We start from the raw sequence: 15030 nt of genomic DNA on the forward strand, positions 1-15030 counted from the left end.
GATTTTTAAAGAAAAGAATGTAAAGCAATCTAGTAAACAACCTTTACCAGCTAAATATATGAACCATAACTAAAAGAGAAGTTCTTGTTCAAGTAGAGAAGTAAAAATTTAGCTACCTCTGTCAACAAAGATACTAATAAATAATATCAAGAGCAAATGTTTTATGATGGTGCATTGACTTCTGTCCTCAGAGCCTGAAAGACTTATGCTGCTTACTAGATAGGTTGAATTGATGAGGGGAAAAAAGCCCCATCATTTGTTGTTAATTATGGATTTAAAATCGCAAAGTGCTTCCATTTACTCACATAATTAAACCCTCTATATCATAAATATTGATCTTGGTGTTATTTTTTTGTTTGCCTTTCCTAAAAATGCTAACAGACTGATGCTATCATTTAGATAATTTTGAAAGGTCTTTTCCTAGTGTAATTAAAGAACGAAATGGAGGAAAATGTTTTCTGTTTGCTCTTTATCAAAGAGAATGATGCTCTAAGTCCAATTAGCTGTATTAATATTTCAAAGTGTTCTAACATGTTCATGTTTTGGGTTCTTATCATCCATAGGGTGATTTAGAGGCCATTATCTGGATACATGCAAAAGAAAAGCAACGGTTTGCAATAGATTCATATTTCAGATATCAGGGCCTACAGCAGCAGGTCTGCCCTGCTATTACTGAGGAAGGTATTTATCATCAACATTTTCTTGTTTCAGATAAAACTGCTGAAGATAATAAGATTACTTTTAAACATAATCTTCACAATATGCCTTATGATTTAAATCTAGTCTCTTTCATTTTTGCATTCTTAATTTTGGTAACAGTTCCTAGTGGACTATAACAAGTATTTGTTCAACATCTTTTAAAAGCATTTACTTGTCTGCTACTAAGTGCCAGGCACAACACTAATTACTTTGAGCTAACAGTGAGAGAGGTAGACACTAAAAGAAAAAGACACAGATGAATATAGCACAGAAGTTAGACAAGTTTTGGAGCCTCGATGCACTGCATAAGAATGTCCACAGAGATTTCATGGCAGGGATATGGCCTTTCTGAGGAAAAGACATCTATCTTAAAATTTGCAGGGTGAGGGAGGGCTCTCCAGCTTGTTGACTTGAATAGATATGCTGGATAGAGAATTCCTGGTGTTACCTAAAAGTTTATTGGACTAATCGTAAACATTTAAAACAGCATCTAAATCATTATCTATTTGTTGGAAAATGGATAATGACATGAGCCTTCTGTAAGAAATTCAAAGTCACATTTCAATAAAAGTTATAATAGTTCATTAAAATGTGTCAAAGATTAATATTTGAAATGAGCGCACATTTGTTTGCCTTTTAATTTCTAATTTTTGTAATGTTTCATATGTCTTTACTGGCCTGTATGTAATTAAAAGAGAACTAAAATGAAGCCAAAGACAAACAAATCAACACATTAAATTCTCAGTCTACTGTGACTTCTCTTGATTTGCCCCCAGCCCCCCAAAATTAAGTCCTCTATATCACTATTTTATTAAGTAATTAAAAATAAAGATCCTATCCTTCCTCTAAAAGTTAGGTAACCCATTGTTTCTATCAATTTAGAAAAGATTTTAAAATGTCAGAACTTTGAATGAGTAGCAAATTTCGCATCAACTAGAATTTTCTCATATTTTTGTTCACACAGATCATGGCAGATATTAGACTTAAGCAAACACATAGGCTTCAAGATAATTTTGCTGTTGTTGCCTCCCTAAGTTATTTTTAGGACATCATTTTTTTTTCAAAAAGAGTTTTGGTTTTTGACTTTTTTTTTCTTTTTTACTGGACTTTACCAGGAGCAAAGTACATTTAAAATACACTTAGAGGTGGAGTGTGGTGGCTCACGCCTGTAATCCCAGCACTTTGCAAGGCCAAGGTAAGCCCATCGCTTGAGCCCAGGAGTTGGAGACCATCCTGGGAAACATGGTGAAACTTTGTCTCTACAAAAAATACAAAAAATGAGCCAGACATGGTGGTGCATGCCTGTGGTCCCAGCTACTCAGGAGACAAAAGACGGGAGAATCACCTGAGCCCAGGAATTTGAGGCTGCAGTGAGCCGGGATTGTACCACTGCACTCGAGTGTGGGCAACAGTGAAGCCCTATCTCAAAAAAAAAAAAAAAAATACACCTTGCATTCAATTTTATCCAATAGTGTCCAAAGGACACATTGCCCAAAGTGCACAATCTTAACCCTAACAGAAGTGCATGAGCTTTTCCTCAAACAAGTTTCCAAAGGTGTTGCCGATCAATAGGACTGCCATAGTTTTTTCCATTGCAAATGCCCAGGTGTCAGGCTAAACAGGCAGAGAGATTACCCCTGGGAGGCAGGGCACAGATCCAGGGTTTTTAAAAGTTTATTCTTCATCATTTCAAAAGATTATCAGTATTTGCAATGCTCACGCAAATTCTTCTGAAATGCAGTATCATTTAAAAAAGAAATGCAAATATTTTTCCAGCAAGAAATTATTTATAACATATTTTCTTCTATGTATTTTTATCAATCAAGGTAAAATATGTTATTTAGTCTTTGTGGGTTATTGACTAGTATTAAAAAAATTATTATGACTTTTCAGATAGTATTACCTGTTATCTCTTATGTTCATATTTGATTATTGTTTTCAGCCTAAATTCACTAATTGCCAAAATTGAGATACAAATCAAAACAACAGTGAGATATCGCCTCATGCCTGTTAGGATTCTGTTTTAAACAAACAAAAGATAACAAGTGTTGGCAAAGATCTGAAGAAATGGGAACTCTTGTACACTGTTGATGGGAATGTAAAATGGTTCAGCTGCTATAGAAAACAGTACAGCGTTTTCTTAAAAATTAAAAATAGAATTACTATATGATCCAGTAATCTCACTTCCGGTTATCGATATTCAGAAAATTGAAATCAGGATCTCAAAGAAATATCTGTACCTTCATGTTCATGGCAGCATAAGACATAACTGGCAAGATACAGAAAACAATCTAAATCAACCTAAAGCTACAGATGAATTGATAGAGAAAATGTGGCGTATTTACAGTGGTATATTATTGAGCCTTAAAAAATAAGGAAAGCCTGCCATTTGCAACAATATGGATGAATCTGAAGGACATTGTTAAGAGAAACAAGCCAGTCACAGGAAAAATGCTGCATCTTCCACTCACATGAAGTATCTGAAATATTCAAACTCAAAGAAGCAGAGAGTAGAATGATAGTTGCCAGGAGCTGATGGAAGGAAGACATAAGGAGTCACTTTTAATGAGTGTAAAGTGTCAGTAATGCAAGATAAACAAGTTCTACAGATCTGCTGTACAACACAGTGCCTATAATCAACCATACAGTTTTGTGCAGTTAAAACACTGTTTTGTAAAAAACTTGTTAAGAGGGTAGATCTCATGTTAAGTGCGCTTGCACTTAAGAAAAAAACAAAACGAGGGGGTATGAGGAAACTTTTAGAGTGAAGGATAAGTTATTTGTAAAATTATATACATTAATTATATGTTGTATTTTAGTATATCAATTATGCACCAATGAAGCTGTTAAACAAATTAATGTGGATCATGACTGAAGGCAAAAGAAAGAAAATCAATGAAGTCCATGTAAACTTTCAAAACAATTATCTACAAAATCCTGATTTCTATTGGGATAGGGACTACTTGAGGAAAGAACCCATGAACGTTAAAATGAGAGAATACCAACTAAGAGTCCTAATTTTATATGTTATTTGGTAGGCCGTCATATTTCAGATAAGAAAACCGAGTTCAAAAAGAACCAGGATTCTGAAGCATAATCCAGTAGACTTCCTCATATATTTTGTGAAGACAATATTTTCCCGCCACACAATCAGGTCTATAAAGGACCTCACAGCATGCTTGACATGTTAGCTGATCATTTGCTCTCTTGACTCTACCTTGTGCAGATTTATTATCAAGAAAAAAATCTCCAATTTAGCCCAAAAAGTAGTCTTCCCCTCTACGTACCTTTATGTTGAACAAACCTAGCTGAAACCAGAGAAAAACATTCTTGCTAGCAAATCAAATATTTAAAACTTATCATGTATATAACTTTACCCATATTCTTCTTATAAAACCATCTGTAATAGAAAGTAATTTTCCACATTTTATAAGATTTTTTAATGAAATCCAGTTTAGAAAAATTTTTAGCATAATATTAAGGTTTAATGTTGTCAGCATAAGAGAATAGTGGAATTTAACCCTTAGTAAGATATTAAAACACATTTTCTTGATTATGCCTCATATTCTCTGTTTTACTCACTATCGTATGTTAAGCCTACATGCCATCATCAAATCTCTACCAAGCTAATAAATATGATTGTGTCGGGGATTTTCCCAAAAAATATATACCATTCACCTTGGAAGATGATAAATTGATAAATGTCCATCATAAAATGTCCAAACCAATGCAGTCAATTCATCCATATGGCCAGTGTGTTCTTTCAGTGATGGATCTCCTCTGACAATGCAATGCTTCATTTGCCTAGCTGGTAATTTAGTCAAGTTTCTTAAAAAATTATCTAGTGACTTTTGGAAAGTATATAGGAAGAAACTCACACCTCCCCCTTCTCTTCAACTACCACCCTTCTCTTCTCTTTGTTACTTTGAAGATATACAGATTTTTTTAATTGATCAATGAAATTAGAAAAGAAAATACAGGCTTTATAATGAAAAGTTTCTGGAAAATGTAACCACTTTTGAGACTATGTCATGTCAAAATTTTTGCCATGTCACGTCTATTAACTGCAGGAAAGGTTGAACAAAAAATTTTAAGACACTTCTGCTGTCTCAAGTTTTTAAAAATCTACTTAGAGACACAAATTTTAAACAAACATTGAAAACTACAATATATATGAACACATTCTTTTTTTAAATAACTATTTATTGAATACCTACACTATGCCAGGAGCTGTTCTAGGTATTGGGAATACAGCTGTAGACATGATTTCTGCAAACATGAAGATGATTTCCTAGTGGTGAAATGCAAATCGAAGAAAAGTAAACAAGTAAAGCCTTTTAAGTGATAGATAGTTGCTGGGCTTGTTACTCTAAGACCATGTAGTGATGGAAGACCCTATGACAAGGAGGTAGGCGAGTAGAGCTCTGTACACAGTGAGGGAATGAGCTTTGTGAATATCTGCTGGAAAAATTTGGCCACATAGGGAACAGAAATATAGGAAACCTTATGCAGAATTGAAATCAGCCTATCCAGGTTGAAACCAGGATAAGACCAGGTTGGGCAACATAGCAAGGACCTGTCTCTTTCAAAACTATATATATATATATAAATTTAATTAATTGGGCATGGTGGCATGTGGCTGTAGTCCCTACTACTCTGAAGGCTGAGATGGGAGGATCACTTGAGCCCAGGAATTGGAGGTTGTAGTGAGCTAATATTCAGGTTCAGGTAAGACATGAGTATAGAAAATGAGAAATAAGTGATAGAAGATATCAGGGGCCATATAAGATCGGGAATTCCAAATTTCAGAAACAAACTTCTTCTAACCGTAAGAAATTGTTTATAGCAAACATACTTTATCTAAAAGGTGGAGTGTAGTGTTGCTAAACTTAAAAACTAGAAATAATGCATAGAAAATTCAAGAAAGTCACAAAGAAAATATTGATATATTTGGATGCTAGGTTACAAGTGATATTGATTATCTTCTTTTTCTCCTCCAGAAACATCATTTTTCTAAAAAACAGTATTTATGATTTATTGAAAAGTAAAAGCATATATTACAAAATATATTTATGCTAAATTAGCATTTATCCTCTGACTTTCTATCACCAGTGGCTTGCTTGAAAGTGAGGGATTTCACGGGTAGGTCTTAGGCAGATGCATGATGTGAGGTTTGCTTGGAAGACAACGATTTTGAGGGGAAGCAAAGTGGAGAATTAAAGAGAGTAGACACAGCTTTAGACATACTTGGATCTGAACTCTGTCTCCCAACTCTACTTCTTTAATCATGTTGCACACTCCTTCAGTTTGAGACATGAAAAGTATATTGAAAGCATAATGAGAATTGTGCAGCCAGTAAACACTGAATGTGGAAGGAAAGACGATCACCATGAACTTGGACTAGACAGTACTGACATGGACTCAATTCCTTCAAACTTGAAGCCTTGAAGTAAAGGCAAACCTGTTTTTTAACAATATATGTACTAAATCAGCAGGGAGATGCCAGCACCGACAAAGTATAAAGAACAACAACAATAAATAGGATGAGGAAATAGAAACATTTGCCATCCCTCCTGGCACATGTGAGTCTCACAGAAATTAGGCCAAATTCTAGCAATTGCTTATATTGCACAAATATGTTTCTTCAAATTACACATACATATTTCTCCTATTTTGATTTATGTAATAACAGGATTACATAATAATATAGTAGAACAATAACAACATATTATATATAATATCCAAAGACTCTTGAAGAATGAGTATATAATTACATAGTCATTCTTCAAGGGTCTTTGGATACATATTTGTAAAGATCTAAAAAATATTAGGGAAAATAGAATTTTACCTTACTATCTTAGAAAATGTATAATGCAGTTTTTTGTAAAGGAAAATTTCTATGTACTTCTACATTGATATTTCAATGAAAATACACCACATGAATGTTGTTCAGGTGTATAAAAACTTGTCCATTGTTTATTATCTTATTTATGGAGAAATTTGGTATACTGCACAAGCTTTTCTTTTCTTTTCTTTTTTTTTAGAGACAGAATCTCACTGTGTCACCCAGGCTGGAATGCAGTGGCCTCATATTAGTTCACTGGAACCTTCAATTCCTGGGCTCAAGTGATCCTCCCATCTCAGCCTCCAGAGCAGTAGGGACTGCAGGCACATGCCACCATGCCCAGTTAATTAAAAACATATACATTGTTTTAAAAGAGACAGGTCCTTGCTATGTTGCCCAAGCTGGTCTTAAACTCCTGGCTTCAAGCAAGACTCCTTCTTCAGCCATCCAATGTGCAGGGATTATAGGAATGGACAATTATCCTTTCTTAAAATATATTTTTCATCCTTTTTATTCTTATGCTTTTTTCCCCTGGCCAACATAAAGTTAAATCATTTGGATTTTCTCCAGAAAGCATTTGTATTAAATTAGATTTAGAGTATTATTTGTATAGTTTTATCTTCCATTTTCTTTTCTGTTCTCTTTAGCCTTAAAGTTTACAACATAGCTTTAAGTTAGATTTTACCTTATCTTATATATTCACATGGACTAACAAAACAGGTACAGCATGGAAGAAATTGTTTTATGATTTTCCAAATAATAGAGGAAAACACCTTAGCTACAAGGGAGAAATTAATCATATCAAAATAATGACACAAATGCCTACCTTTCCATTTTCTTGATTTACTCATACATTTCTAATGTTTTTATTAAGAAATATTTTGCTAGGAGGATATCAGAGCAAAAGAATACACAGCCCAAGAGGGGCAATAGGGTTAAAGCATTTCTGGTCCAATAGTGGCATGTCTTCAGCACTGGATAAGGGACCTTTTTCAAAGTGACTTCCAAGGAAGCAGGACCAACGCAGCTGGAAAGCCTCACCCACTGTCAGCTGCACATAGCTGCTGCCCCGTGCCTGCCCTCAGCCTCTCCTCATCAAGTGTTTTCTACTGGTTGCCCCAGCCAGAATCACCTCTCTGTTTCTTCCCATGATGTCCTTGCTGGCACTGGCTTCATGACAACTCTCCTTTCTCCTCTGAAACATAGTTCTAGTTATAGTCTCAGAAATTGTCACCTTTCCTATCATACACTAGGTCCTTCAGAACATTGTGGTCCTAGATATAAAAGTCACCACCCACTAACTAATATTATCACTTTATTGCCTTCCAGATGTTAAAGTAAGACACACAAAAAACTCATCTTGTGATAATCTAAGTCAATACAACAAGTAGAAATAGGCTTTGAATTACAGATGAAGCAAAAGGATGAGAAGTGGTAACTAGTAATTTTTTTTTTTTTTTTTTTTTTGAGACAGAGTTTCCCTCTTGTTGCCCAGGCTGGAGTTCAATGACACGATCTCGGCTCACCGGAACCTCCGCCTCCCAGGTTCAAGCGATTCTCCTGCCTCAGCCTCCCGAGTAGCTGGAATTACAGGTATGTGCCACCATTCCTGGCTAATTTTTTTGTATTTTTGGTAGAGATGGGGTTTCTCCATATTGGTCAGGCTGGTCTTGAACTCTGACCTCAGGTGATCCGCCTGTCTTGGCCTCCCAAAGTGCTGGGATTACAGGCATGAGCCACTGTGCCCGGCCAGTAACTTGTAATTTTAACCAATAGTTCTGGTGGTAGAGATTTGAAAAGGCCTACTTAAAACCAGACATAATTATGGGTAATTATGATGATACATAATCATTAGTTGCACAGTGAGGTGGTCATTATCTCCAACTTTCACATCTAGACCTGGAAGTTCATTGAGGTCAAGTGTTTGCAAAGATCTTCTGGCCTAACTTAGGGGTCAGAGAGCGCCATGTCTGGGGGCAAACCATAAATGTGTTTGATTAAGATTAAATGCATACTGAGGAAAATGCATATATACATACGGCTTTTTTTGTGTGTGTGTGGCATGATCTCAGCTTGCTGCAACCTCTGCCTACTGGGTTCAAGCGATTCTCCTGCCTCAGCCTCCTGAGTAGCTGGGATTACAGGCATGTGCCACCACGCCCCACTAATTTTTGTATTTTAGTAGAGATGGGGTTTCGTCATGTTGGCCAAGCTGATTTCGAACTCCTGACCTCAGGTGATCCACCCTCCTTGACCTCCCAAAGTCCTGGGATTACAGGCATGAGCCACTGTACCTGGCCAATGCATATATTTTGAACAAACAATCAAAACAAGAAAGGATATTGATTATTAGAGTATATAGTGGACAACAAGGTAAAAAACAGGGATAAAATGTATATCGCATAATCACATAATTTGACAATAATAGAAGGAAAAATCAGGGATTTCCTGGATCTGATAGAGGAAATGCTGTAATTTAACTGCCAGGTGAAAGACAGTGAAACTTGAGGGCACAAAAAGTAATAGATACAAGGATATACATACATTAAATGAACAATAAAGCAAAAACAAAAACAAAATAAAAACAGAAAGCTGAGTTGAACACTGAGTCTAGGAGCTGTAAAAATGTATGTCAATATATAAATTAGAGATGCAATATCAAAAATATTCATTGCTCATTGACTAATGGCAAAAAAATCAGTACAAAATTGAAGAAAGCAAAACCTACTTACCTCAGGGCTAGCAAAACCTACCACCTGCATGTGTTTTAATGTGCATACCCATATCCAGACCAACAGCTCACATTAACATAGAAGAAAATGTGAGCAACTGAGAACTGTGCTTAATATTGGCATGCAATTCTGCATACTAAAATTTAACTTTTAACAACATTATGTGCTTGACTAGTTATGTAAATCCATCATATTTATTTCATATAACAGGCATGTCTGATAATATAAATGTCAATTGGTTTTAACAACTTATTTTGATACCACGTCCATCACAGTAAAGTATTAATGGCAAAAGCAGAAGTCATGTAATATATTCTGGAATTGGGAATGGTGTAACTCATAGGAAAGTACTTTGTAACAAAGAAACGTACAATTGTAGTGTTCCAGTTTAACATGATTTGACACACCTCATACAGAAAAGTCCTGAAACTGACAGCTAAGTAAGTCTTCAAACAAAATCTGCCAATATTCGTTGTCTGCTTTTCCTTCACTACTTTTAAATAACGCAGCAAAAATGACTTAATCATTTAAACCATATATAGATGGCCATTTATGGAGAAAATAGTGCAAAATAAAAGAAATATTTTTTTCCGTGGGTGTCAATTTACCTTGCCATCATTTAAATGTTTTTTATTTTTCCAGTGTCATGGCTATCTTAAAAAATTGCAATTTTGTAAAGGAAGTCAAGTGAATGCAGTTTTATTAACTATGCCTTTTATTTCCCATATTTTAATGCTTTTACATTTTGGGGCTTCACTGATCCTGAAAGGACTGCCCCTCAAAGGGTTAGCTCATTCCAAGAGATAGCAAACAATTCCCTGGGAATGTGCCTTTCACATGCAAACCAACCAATCCAGAGGCCATACCTCTACTCATCTTCTTTACTGGGCTCTCAAACTCTGGGCCACTATCCATCTACCCTAATTATCCTAGGGCCAACTACCAGACAACAAAGAACTGCACCTATTTCCAAGAGCCACTGAAATTCTTCAAGCTAGCCCATCCTAAACCTGCTTACCCTGCCTCATCAGCCCCTCCTGCAGAAATCACAAAGGTTTCCATAAAGATTCATTTGGCCACATTTGCCTCTTGCACCCTCTATCTACTGGCCAATACTGGTACTTCCCTATGTTGTCCCATGTGGCATGGCATGGCCCTGTTTCTAGAGAACTGTGAATGAAAACTTCTTCCTTAATGATAGTCATTTCTATGCTTGCATGTCTTAAATTATCTGATTTTTAAAAATCCTGGTACCCTTATGACAGCCATTTTTTTTCTATTATTATGTTGGTGTGAAAGTAATTGCAGTTTTTTGGTACCACCTTTTTTTTTTTTTTTTTTTGAGACAGAGTCTCGCTCTGTTGCCCAGGCTGGAGTGCAGTGGCACGATCTCGGCTCACTGCAAGCTCCACCTCCTGGGTTCACGCCATTCTCCTGCCTCAGCCTCCTGAGTAGCTGGGACTACAGGTGCCCACCACCACACCTGGCTAATTTTTTGTATTTTTAGTAGAGACGGGGTTTCACCGTGTTAGCCAGGATGGTCTCAATCTCCTGACCTCGTGATCCACCTGCCTCGGCCTCCCAAAGTGCTGGGATTACAGGCGTGAGCCACCACGCCCGGACAGTTTTTCAGTATTACTTTTCATGGAAAAAACTGCAATCACTTTCACACCAACCTGTAAATCTTAAAAATAAAGGCCATTTGATAACTGAGTTATCAACTTTTTATTTTGCCATGGAATGACATTAGAATTAAAATGATCTTTCTACTGTTGGCATGATTTCAGTCGCAATTTTGGTATTGAAGATATAGCTACAAAAAATAATCTCAAGGAGTTTAAGTTTTAATTGGATATTATTTATTAAAAACACTAGCTGCATATGCTGCAATTTTATAGCTGTAAATGTAAAGACTGAAGATTTTAAAACTGCTTTGTGATGCCTTGTGCAGTGTAACTTTTTTTTTTTTTTTTTTTTTTTGAGGCAGGGTCTCCCTCTGTGGCCCAGGCTAGAGCACAAATACGGTTCATTGCAGCCTCAACCTCCCTGGATCAAGCAATCCTCCTTCCTCAGCCTCTGGATTAGCTGGAACTACAGGCACATGCCCAGCTAATTTTAAAATTTTTCTGTAGAAATGAGGTCTCCCTATGTTGCCCAGGCTGGTCTTGAATTCCTGAGCTCAAGTGAGATCCTGCCTCGGCCTCCCAAAGTGCTGGGATTACAGGTGTGAGACACAGTGAAATATTGTCTTGGAAATGTATGACAAGTCCTACTTTTATATTGCTCTTTAATAGTGTTTGAGTTTGCCTACTGAGGAAGATAAGGTATAATTTTAAATTATATGTCCACTGGATTTAAGTAATACAATCTTAATAGCTAGAGCAATAGTGACAAATATATTGTTTTCACCTTTTCCTTTGATTATAGCTGGAAAAATATTTAAAACCATAGAGCATCCATATTCTTATGTGATATTACGCATATCACTCACAGGAAAAACACAACTAATTTTGAGTTGAACCCAGCTGAAATAAAGAGAATATGAGCATCACATAAAGTTAGTTTTTATTCTCTTATAATATTGCTTTCACTCCTTCTATACTGATTCTAATTTTGCTACCCTGATTCCAAGAAATCCGTTTTATCTAGATGTTATAGAGTTCTGCTTTCTCTTTATTGCCTTGAGCAGTAATGGGTTAATCAAACCAGGAAATACCTGCATAACAAGCCATTTCATATCGAGAACAGGAGAATTGAGAAAGAGAAAGTGCTGATAAATATCCCCCATTCATAAGAAAAAAATTCACAAAGACAGAAAATCCATAGATGAAAATGAAAAAAAAAAATAAGGCTCTCTGCAAATTTCTCAACTTTAGAATTGAAGTAATTAAAGATTACTGATCTTTAATCAGTTAAAAAAAAACTGAGGATGGCCATAGTTTGCTGTCTTACTTCTACTAAATATACACATTTTAAATAAACCCCACACAACTAACTACCTCCTATGAACATTATTTAGTTGATAAGTAAGTCTCCTTTTTATAGTGAAAATGTAGGGAGAACTAACACTCTTGCCTTTAATTGCACAGCCTTACAGGTTTTGAGAGATGCAGTCAACACTTTGTCAAGAACTGTCATTGTGAGCCAGGGAGGTGGAAGCACAATTCTGTTCAATGGTTTCTTCCCTTTACATACAGGACAGCCTAGATTCCTTTTATTTTATTTTGTTTTTCAAACTTCCTCATTTCTATTTGCTTATTTGTTTATAATTTTTGATTCAGGAGGTCCACTTGCAGGTTTGTTGCATAGGTATATTGCACGACACTGATGTTTGTGCTTCTAATGATCCCATCACCCAAGTAGTGAACATATTACCTTATAGGTAGTTTTTAATGCTTCCTCCCCTTCCTCTCTCCCTACTTTTATAATACAATCCCCAATGTTTATTGTTCCCATCTTTGTGCCCATGTGTACCCGATGTTTAGTTCCTGCTTATGAGTGACAACATGTGGTATGTGGTTTTCTGTTTCTGCATTAACTCAATTAGGATAATGGCCTCCAGTTGTATTCATGTTGCTGCAAAGCACATGGTTGCAACTGGAGGCTGTTATCCTGAGTTGTTTATAGCTGTGTTGTATTCCATGGTATGCATATACCACGTTTTCTTTATTTGGATTCCATTTAAGTAGACAAATTGTTGTATGTTACAAAAATTCATGGGATCATCTATTAGTTAACTAGGATTGCCATAATAACATATCAAAGACTAGATGGCTTATAGGGGTGTCCAATCTGTCAGCATCCCTGGGCCACACTGGAAGAAGAATTGACTTGGACCACACAGAAAATACACCAACAGTAAGGACAGCTAATGAGCAAAAAAAAAAACAAAAAAAAAAACAAAAACAACAACAATAACAAAAACATAATGTTTTAAGAAAGTTTACAAATTTGTGTTGGACCACATTCAGAGCCATCCTGGACCACTGGCTGTGGGCTGTGGGTTGGACAAGCTTGGCTTAAACAATAGACAATTATTGTCTCACAATTTTAGAGTTTAGAATTCCAAAATCAAGGTATTTGCAGGGCTTGTTTCTTCTGACAGCTCTGAGCAAAGGGCTGTTCGACTTCTCTGGTTTGTAGATGACCGTCTTCTCCTGTCTTCACGATGTCTTCTCTCTGTGTCTGTGGCCAAATGTCCTCTTCTTATGGGACATAAATCACATTGGATTAGGGCTCACTATAACGACCTCATTTTCAATTAATTACTTCTTTTAAATATCTTATTTCCAGTGACATTCTGAGGTAATGGGAGTTGGGACGTTAGCATATGAATTTTGAGGACACAAAATTAAGCCCATAACAGTTGACATTCTTGATGATCAGAAGCCATGGCCAAGACACAGCCTGGCAGAAGCACAGATAACAGCGCCCTGGAGAATATTTCCTTCTCACCTCCAGAATTCAGTATATAGGATGTGCAAAAGAGAAGCTGCAGGGCAGGACCCTACAGCAGAGATAACCAGTAAGAAAACAGCAGGACTTTCCAGTCTCCGTTCCCAGACTTCTTTCTAGACAAATACCACACTCCATGCCTACAGTCTCCTACTAAAAATGTTTTTTTTTTTTTTTGAGACAGAGTCTTGCTCTGTCACCCAGGCAGGAGTGCAATGGTATGACTTTGGCTCACTGCAACCTCTGCCACCCGGGGTCAAGTGATTCTCCTGCCTCAACCTCCCGAGTAGCTGGGATTACAGGCATACACCAACATCCCCAGCTAATTTTGTATTTTTAGTAGAGACAGGGTTTCATCATGTTGGTCAGGCTGGTCGCAAACTCCTGACCTCTGGTGATCCACATGCCTCAGCCTCCCAAAGTGCTGGGATTACAGGAGTGAGCCACAGCATCCAGCCTGATTTTTCATTTTCTAAAACTTCTTTTGTTTATTCATTCCTCTATGAATATGCAGTTCTTATATTGGCTTTATTTGCAGAATATTGCTCACTCTTTAAGATCTGTCTTAATGGCTGGCTCCTTCCAGATAGCATTCCCACACACCTGTGTGGGAATAAGTTTTTTCTCCCTTGCTCTCCTGAGGTCACCAATTATTTTTTGTTTTATAATCCTGCCATTTCCTTGCTCAGTCCACTCTGAAGACCACCGATCGCACACAGAAGATCCAAACTCCTCATCATAGCCAAAAAGACCCGAAAGATTTGGTTCCAGACAACTTATCAGATATCATATCCTTTCTCAATCTCTCTCTGTTTGCCCACTGAAGCCACGGTGGTGTTCACTTTTGTTCCACAAATATGCCAAACTTATCCCTCCTGGGTGTCCCCTCTACTCGTTTTTACTTCCCATTGTAAATTCTTTTCTCACATGATCTCATCGTGGATTCCTCTCAGTTACTCGTATCTTGGCTTAAATGGCTTCAAGTCAGAGGCAACTTTTCTGACCACCAATCTGAATTAAACTCCCAGTGTGCCTCTAATACATCAACTTCCTTGATTGGCTTTATTATGCATTATTAGTCCTTAATCATATCTTATAAATTAATAATTCATTTGTTGATTTTCTGTCACCCTCAACTGCAATGTGAACTCCAGGGGAGCAGAAACATACTGGGTTTGTTGAAGTCTCTACCAAGGCACTCAAATAGGTGCATGAAATATATTGAGAAAAATTTTTGAATAAATGAATGAATCGTTAGAAAAATGAATATAATAAATTTAATGCATGCATAGATACATG

At 36.6% G+C, this 15030-nt stretch overlaps 1 protein-coding gene across 5 annotated transcripts in view, besides 1 other annotated feature; it reads right to left on the reverse strand.

Annotated features, from left to right (window-relative positions):
- CDH12 (cadherin 12) overlaps positions 1 to 15030 on the reverse strand; it is a 1102672-nt gene that overhangs the window by 727785 nt on the left and 359857 nt on the right. The gene's annotated exons all lie outside the window — the stretch shown is intronic.
- Positions 1952 to 2109: a silencer, noted in NCBI's record as "fragment chr5:22480518-22480675 (GRCh37/hg19 assembly coordinates)". NCBI's record gives its function as "represses an EF-1alpha promoter that drives an FKBP-Casp9 reporter gene in an ReSE screen in HepG2 liver carcinoma cells {active_cell/tissue: HepG2}" and the evidence as "EXISTENCE:reporter gene assay evidence [ECO:0000049][PMID:32094911]".

Source organism: Homo sapiens, chromosome 5 (assembly GCF_000001405.40).
Source record: "Homo sapiens chromosome 5, GRCh38.p14 Primary Assembly".
In the NCBI taxonomy this organism is placed as follows: domain Eukaryota; kingdom Metazoa; phylum Chordata; class Mammalia; order Primates; family Hominidae; genus Homo; species Homo sapiens.